The sequence below is a fragment of the Homo sapiens genome, chromosome 5, assembly GCF_000001405.40.
Source record: "Homo sapiens chromosome 5, GRCh38.p14 Primary Assembly".
In the NCBI taxonomy this organism is placed as follows: domain Eukaryota; kingdom Metazoa; phylum Chordata; class Mammalia; order Primates; family Hominidae; genus Homo; species Homo sapiens.
In genome coordinates this window covers 28,773,080-28,782,213 of record NC_000005.10, presented here as the reverse complement: position 1 = coordinate 28,782,213, position 9,134 = coordinate 28,773,080, and positions in this window count along the sequence as shown.

Genomic DNA, 9,134 nt, shown 5'->3' with positions numbered 1-9,134 from the left:
CTGTTATTAACCATCACATTTATATAATGTGTATATAACACATTTATATAACATAAACTGATTTCCATTTATGAAGCATATTACGTGCTTACTACAAAAACATAAAAAAGAAGAGAATGTATAATTGAATTCCTATAAAGGGCATAGAGGTACCGAAAGAAATATCTCCAATACTTTTAGGATTCCTTACTAAATTTTATCTCTGTTTTTTCTATGTGAATTAACTCTTAGAAACTCCTAATCATACACGTTGACATAGCCACTGACAAATATCAGGTTTTTTAACCATAATACATCCAACCCCCAATCTTCTAGTTTTCAAAACAAGTCCTAGAAATGGCTTTAATTGGTTTATTTTATAACCATAAATATGGTGTACCATTGATTACTGTATCCAGTAAATTAACACCCCTGAGTTTAGGGGAAGAGCCATTCCCAAAACACAGATGGTGTGGCTCCCAGGTGGAGGAAAGCATCTGGGCAGACAAACCATCAGCAGGAGCAGGGATGAATCTTCTCAGTTTTTGGATGCAAGTTGTGCTTTCTGAGAGCTTTGTGTGTTGAGATCATCACTTAATGTGCCTCCCAGCATCTAATTTTTGTTGTTTTACTAAAAGTACATTGATTTCTCTGTGATGAACTGTTTCTGCCCACGCTAGCTCTACGCACATCAGATTAGGCATCCCTTCACCCTGGATAGGCATAATCCAAATTGAGGCTCCTTCTAAAAATGACTGATTCAAGATGAGTCAATTTCCAAGCAGCTATATTAGATGCAGTCTTGAAATTTGTAATGAAAATATAAAGAAAAATGGTATATCATTCTACTGGCCATGATAGAACAAAAACCTGAACCTACCAGTTGCAACTTTCTCTCCACTTGGAAAGAAAATGCCTGAAAATAAAGCAAACTCAGAACAAGTAGATACTAAGAGTTGAAGAAAAAAATCTGCAGGCCCAGCTAGCTACTCAGGTGGCTGAGGAGGAAGGCCTTGAGCCTAGTTTGAATTCAGCTTGGGAAACATAGCAAGAATATCTCTAAAATAAAATAAAATAATTGAAGATAAAGAGATTACTGATGATGGTTTTCAAGCATTTTGACCCAATCTTTTTAAAGTTTGACTTTTCTGTTGACTTCTTTTTTTTTCTGTTAACCAGTATGTTTATATTTCTGCTTAAGCTAGTTTGAATTTAATATCATGTTACTTGGAATTGAGTCCTCACTAATAAGTGAGGATGAGGGGAGGTTATGGTCCAATTCTCAGATGAAAATTTGAGTCTTTATTGACTGCCTGGATTTTCTTTTCATAAGCAAGTAAAGTAGGCAACACGTGATCCACAAAGACTCACCACTATGGACTATATCAACAACCCTATCCAACAGATGAAGGAAATTGGATGTAATAATAGAGTTGCTTTGGAACTAAGAATCAGAGATGATACTTAGAATGAAGAGACAGAAGTAACATGAGGTTGGTACAGCTTCCTTTTTCTTTGTCCATGACACTCCTAATTATTAAGCCATTTATTAAGAGTTTGAAAGTACCTCCACATGATATATACTTGCAGGTATTCCTGTTTTATTTTCATTTCTCTGGTCAAAATTCCTCTAGTACTATCTGAAATAACAGTATAGGTTATCCTAGATATTTGTGATAAAATATTTAGCTTATATTTTTTCATTTCTTCTACCCGGAATAGTTTACTTTCTACCTAAACCAGGTTATAAGGAAGGAAGGAGAAAGAAAGGAAGGAAGAAAGAAAGAAAGAAAGAAAGAAAGAAAGAAGGAAAGAGAAAGAAAAAGAAAAGAAAGAAAGAAGGAAAGAGAAAGAAAGAAAAGACAAGAAAGAAAGAAAAAGAAAGGAAGGAAGGGAAGGGAAGGAAGGAAAGAAAGAAAAGAAAGAAAGAGAAAGAAAGAAAAAGAGAGAAAAGAGAAAAGGAAGGAAGGAAGAAAAGAAAAAAGAAAGGAAAGAAGGAAGGAAGGTAGGAAGGAAGGAAAAGAAGAAGGAAGGAAGGAAGAAAAGAAAAAAAGAGAAAGGAAAGAAGGAAGGAAGGTAGGAAGAAAGGAAAAGAAAGAGAAGAAGGAAGGAAGGAAGGAAAAGACAGAGAAGAAGGAAGGAAGGAGGGAAGGGGAGGGGAGGGAGGGGGAGAGAAAGAATGGCCTGAAATTTAAGTCTAATTCACGGACTGTCTGAAATTACAAAAGTCACAGGTGTATTGAAGGGCCAAAATAAAGATTTTGTTAATGTTGAGAACATGTTGTATAAATATGATTATTACCACCACATATATCTTTTACAAAACTATAGTGTATCATAGTGATTCTGCAGTTTCAAGATAAAACTGTGAAATTTCCACTTTAAGCTTTTGTCTGATTTTTTTTCTTTAAAGAAAGTATGAATATGACTCAAAAGTGATTATACTGATAAATATATACTACATTCCACTATGAGCAATGCTTGTGTGCTATCCTTTCTTATAGGTTTGTTAACTGCTCAGGGAACTGATCTCTCAATAACTTATATTTTACAATAATATATGTAAAATATTGTTTAATTGTACCACTGAGAATTGAGGACTTTACCAATTCCTAATATAAGCTTAATATATAATTAGAATTTGTTTTCATTTTTTCTCCTGTACTATGAGCTGGCTAAAACTATTGTTCTCACTACTTTTTATGTTGGAACATATTAGTTTGAAACAATCCCTGATTTTGTTTTTCAAAAAAGCAAAAGCAAAAGCAACTGAGATGCTTGGAGTGTGTAAGAATGCAGTAAAATGTTCAGTTAGTTGCTAATCCACTGGAGTTAAGTGCAATCTCTGGAGGTGCTGAGCATGATCTAATACTGCAGCCTTCTGCCCAAAGAGCATCATTACAGTAACAGCCCTGCCAAATATTCTCTGCTTTTCACTTACACCTAATAATGCTTCTAAAGATACCCCTTATAATGTTACTTAGACATGCACACAGGTGCTCATTGAAGACTTTGACTTTAAAATGAATGCCATTTACAATGGCAACACATTTGGCAAACAAGTGAAAACTGAAAAATGCCAATGAACAGATTGAATAAAGTATTCTGAATATGCATTTATTTTTTTTTTCTTTTTTGATGTCATATATTTTGAAATGGACAGGCTCATTCATATATATACATCCTGCACATTTTACTTTTCATAATCAGAGACAGAATATCATAACTATCAGTCATAGGATCTTTGTGAATTTATGCAGATGGGCTGACTTCTTTGATAATTTCTGGTATCAAAAAGAAGTGTTAGGTTGCTTATGATTCCTGAAAAAGTTATTGCAGCAGCACAAATTATAACTCAGTATTTAAAAATCAAACATTTCTTTTTGTCTTTTCTTCTCATCTCTCTGTTTTCAGGCCCACGTGTTCTTCACATGGCTCTGAAAACACGGAAATGAAAAGGAAAGACAAAAAGGAAACTAGTCGGGATGTCTTCACAATTACTTATCACTGCGCACACTGAATCAACTGTATGTCCCTACTTATAAATAAACAACTGCCTGTGAACAGTAAAGCTCTTCTTTTACTTTCTTCTTCAAATTATGATGCTTTGAATAGTAATTGAACTTGGCTTCTAGAGATTATAATGTAAGAAGAAACTGTATTCCTCATTTAGTGGGAAGAATTCTCAAAATGATTCCGATAACTCACCTTTGATTCTCAACCCCTTTGATTGCAGATGGACCCTCTAAATATGAATGTCATTCCTGTGAGTGTGGCACATTATGTGGCAAAGAGAGCTTATCTAGGCGGGGTTAACTTAATCAGAGGAGCCCTGCATGAGCAGAGTTTTCTCCAGATGGTGGCAGAGAGATTCAAAGCATGAAAATGATTCAAAGCACCACTGCTGGCTTTGAAAATGGAGGGGGCAACATAGACCTTAAAAATGTTCCCAGCTCTTAATGTTCCCATACTTGACTCTATATAAGGTTTCTTTCTGACTATAGGCCCCTTACTTCCATTTTCTTAAAGCATTTATTTCAGAAAATTTCCAACTGTAAACTCTTTATCTGCTCTATTCAAATGTGAATCTACTATAATACAAGAATAGCTTTATCAATAATCTGGGAGTTATTCCTTTGACATTTAATCATATAAGGAGAAAGAGATAGCATCCTTTCCTCCAAGTCCTTGTGGGAGGGTAGGAGCCCAAGTTCAATAAGTGACAATAGGCAAACACAGGTGGCCTAATCACATTGACCAACCTCTCCACTAACATCTTCCAGTAGTTTTCCATTAACTCACTCCAACATTTAAAAATCTTCCTGTCTTTTGCTTCAGCAGAGTTAAATTCAATCCTTCTCGCATAGTTTAATAATCTCTTTCCATTATTCCAATAGTCTTGAATAAATTCACCTTTGTATATTTCACTAGTCATGTGTAATTTTTCTTTTATGGTATATAAAAACTTGAGAATGACATCTAGAAGCTGAGAGAGATGTCTGCAGACAGGCAACTAGCAAACAGGGACTGAAGTTTTCCAGCTGCAAGAAATAGATTATACAGACAATCTAAATGAGCTGGAAATGAGTTCTTCCCCCAGAGTCTCAACATGAGTTCAGCTGAGCCAACACCTTGATTTTGCTCTTGTGAGACTCTCACAGAGAACCTAGTTGAGCCTACGAGGACTTCTGACCTACAAAACTTATTTAAGCCACTAAATTTGTAGCAATTTGTTACAGAACAATAGAAAGTGAATGTGCCTTAGTGGAACCCAAGAGAATTTTAAATTCCCTGGTTTGAATATAGGGAGTATAACAGAGATTGAAGACTTTGGGGATACAGTTTTGGCCATGCCCTAAATGGCACAGAATGTTTTCTAACTACCTTAAATGGCACAGCAGATTTTGTTTTAGTTTTGTTTTTACCTAAATCAGGTACTCCAATATAAAAAAAATTTTTTTCACTGTTTTGGATTTTGATAATTTTCTGAGCCAACTTATGTATTCAAATATAATTATTATCCATTATACATAATAAACCACACTTTAATAAAAAAATTCTATTGGAAATAAGTAATTTAAATAATCATATGTATTTTAACGTGTCTGATATTGGTATATACGTAAGTTGGAAAGATTTGTTATTACTATGGCATAAAATAGGCAAATATTTGGTGTTAACTTACTTTCAGATAAAGAATACTTTTTAGAGTCTTTAAAGTATGTCCTTTCAGATAATCTGACACAGATTATCTAAGGAAACAGGAAAACTAAGAAGGCCAATTTTGAGAATTCTTCAAAATGCTTCCAAGTTTGTGTAGTATGGAATGATGTATTTTAAATCTGACAGCCTTTATAATCCTAGCACTTTGGGAGACCAAGGCAGGCAAATACCTTTAGCTCAGGAGTTAGAGAACAGCCTAGACAACATGGAGAAGCCCTGTCTGTACAAAAAATGCAAAAACTAGCTACACATGGTGGCGTGCACCCGTAGTCCCAGCTACTTTGGAGGCTGAGGTGGAAGGATGACTCAAGCCCAGGAGGCGGAGGTTGTAGTGAGTCAAGATCACGCTACTGCACTCCAGCCTGGGCTACAGAGCCAGACCCTCTCCCAAATATATATATGTATATGTACACATACATTTTATATATTTAATATAGGTGTATATATATTATTTTACATATATTTATATATATATATAAATAAAGCCTTTCAATTGCTCACGTCTGAAATCTTTTTGTTAAAATGTCATTCTTTCAGCTAGAAGACATTCCTATGCTTAGCATGGATTTTGGTCTACAATGAATGTAATTCATTAGGTAATCAACTAGAGTATATTAACAAAATAATTGTTATCATAATTACATTTAAAGTTGAGATTTTATGGCTTCATTCATGCAACAGAGAGCACAATCATCAAAACTATTTATTGAGTCATAACCTAGCTCATATTTCCAAGAATGTTACATGTTTCTTTGCTCCAAGTATTACTGTGCAATTAATTCTAGGAACAATGCATTTCAAATTGCATTGTATATTTTATTAGACCAAAGGGAACTGAAGTGCTGAACCTCTTCACACTTTACACACTAGTGTTCCTTTGTTAAAACCATTCTATAATCATGCCAAATGTTCACTTGCCACACAATCAGATTATGATCATTGAGTTTGTCATAGAGAGCCTGAGACATGGAGCCAAGAAATGATTTTCAAGCCTTCTTTGTAGCTTTCTATTGTTCCATCAGAGAACCTTCTTAGAAGATCCAGTTTTCAGACTATGCATTGTTATTTTCTTAAGCCTTTCCAAAAGGCCCCTTCATTCTTATTTTTAGATTTGGTTAAAGCTTTCCCATAGCCTTGAAATAGAAGCCCTACCGACATCATACATTTTAAATATACCAAGATGTTTTACTGTAACAATATGAGCCACATCTTTTTCTCAGTAGCCATTTTCCTTTATTCCTAATATCAAATGTAAACTACTCAAAAATGAATAATGTCTTGGCTAAAATAAGTTTTTGTTTTTGTAATCATAGTTACACTCTTAAACTTCCAGAAACAAATTGTTAGGGATATTAAACAATGCTGATTGAATTCTAGTTATTTTAATGAGGAATACCCCCTCATTCTTTTCACCAGCCTGCTATTTACTGAGCATCCACTGTATTCACAGCACTATTACAAGCACTTATGGATTTTAACTAAAAGAAATATCCATCGCACTGTTTCATGTGACAAAGAAAATGGAGCTCTAACACATTGTGTTTATCTACTTGTGTTAGATGACACTTACTGAGAAAATTAACTAAGTCATGCCTTACAGAGGTAAAAGGAAAATGAAAATGTAGTTAGAGAAATAAGGGTGAAAAATATGGTGAATTTTGGAGAACTGAGCTATAAAGTTGCCAATAAATTGAGTGATTTAAAATATGTCATGTTATTAGAAGATTACCTGACTCTTAATGACTGTATAATGAATGTAAGTTAACTTTAAAATTATTAATATTTTTCTTAGCATGAAAACTAAATGTTAAACATTCGAAACATACTTCACTATTTGCCTTATATTTGTGATTTTTTTCTACTATTCATAAGTTCATTCGCTTAATGAAATATGAGTTTTAAGTCAACTATCTGCAAAGTGTGGTGTTAGTGTGGCGAAAAAGCAAGAAATGATCCTTGCTTTTATGACTTCTCAGTATAATCAGGAAGATTGACAGCAACATAAAATTATTTAGATAAATTAGGGTATAATTCTGACATTTTCTCTAAAAAAAAATGAAAGAAATATGGAAATAGGCCCAGGATATCTTGGTTGAAGTAGAATATTTAAACTGGACTCAGAATCAAAAAGTGTCCCTGGCTAAGGAAAGAGCAATCATGAAAGACCTGAAGCAGAAAGAAAGGAGCCTTGTACATTTGAGGGGATAGAAATATACCATTGTGACAGCAGCCTCTTTCAGAATTCTGAGAATGAAACAGAAAAAGCTGAGAAGTTGACATGAGGCAGTTAGCACCTTATAGAACAGGTTAATGATTTTAGACTTGAGGCTTAAAACAGAAAATTGCTGCAGGGTTTTAAGTTTAGAAGTGACATGATCTGAGTCTTTTTATGAACACTTTGGGTATGCATAGAAATTCAATTGGTCTGGAGGTGGAGTAATTGTGGGAAGCCTATCTAGAATAGTATAGTTATAGGGGCTCAAGCTGAGTTAAGTAAGTGGCTGTTTAGATAAAGAAAAGACTTCAGGAATATTTAATATGTAGTAAAAACAGGAATATTGAATTATTAGATATGCTACTGGAGGGAAATGCAATGGTTATAAGGGCAAACTAATGGTATAAAATCAAATTAACCAGGGAGACAGTATACAGTAGGATAAAGGAAGAAAAAGTCTGTGGTATTCATTATGAAAAAACTGGATAATGGAAAGTTTTCCATAGTGGATTCAGGCCCACAGCTCTGAATTTCTATGAAAACAGCGTAGAAAATAGGTAGGAAAATGGAGAGAAGTTTGTGGAGAGGAAAGAAATGGTAACGAGTGAATGTTAAGAGTATAGAGTGAGGCAGGAAAGTGTCCAATAATTTTAGCCTCAGATGTTATTAATGAGTTGATTTAAAAATTTAGTAAAATGCTGCCAGATTGAAGTAGGCCATGAGGGAATTAGGCAAAGAGGAAGTTCGGGGTACATGGGGACAATTGTTTGTAGAAGTTTGCATGTGAAGGATGATAAATCAGTGGGAATGGTAAGCAAAAGAGGAGTTTGCCTAAGATGTTACAAATCTGTCAGGGTATTAGTGTTTGAAAATAGGTCACCCATTACATAAAGTGTTTCCAAATTTCCTAGCATTCAGAAGACACTGAGTAATGTCCCACATCAATAGCTTGACTTTTATTTATGTGTATAGTTTACCAATATTTCTGACAAATCCCAAATAATTTTTTAAGTTTCTGCAAATACCTCTTGGCCATTTATTAACTAGCTTCTCCCTCTTCTATGGTAAACTACGCCATTTTGAATCAAATGTGGATTTGGGTAACTTAAAGTACACAAAAATTAAAGTTATGGTGTTTAACAAAACTTAATAAAGGTCTCTGGTCAACATAGGCAAAGCACAATTCAAACACTGAAATTTTTATATTGCATACTAGATAATACTGGAAATTCTTAATTGATACTCCACTAGAGATCTTCTAATGTGGCCAATTTTGCTTACTTCCTTACCTGCTACCTTTTTAGAACCGCTAACCTGTTTTCTCCCAGAGATAGTCGTATTGATTATTCCCCTGAATTTGTAATCCTGTCTTTCCAATGACAGGCATTGGACCAAAGAGAAGAGAACAAAATTAACATTTTATTTTTTTCATCTCTGCTTGTAGGCTCAACTTCTATCCAACTTAAGAGAATCTGTAAAAATTCAACTAACATCAAAAACAGACAAATTCTCACATTATTAATCTGAGCAGTTTTGCCTCTCGTGGAAGTTCTCCATTCGTATTCTAGTCTATGATTTCCATATTATGTTTGCATAAACACAGAAATCATTTACTAGTTTTTGATCTTAATAGGTTTTACTCTCTATTAAAAAGAGAATGTGGCCAGGCAAGGTGGCTCCCGCCTGTAATCCCAGCACTTTGGGAGGCCGAGACGGG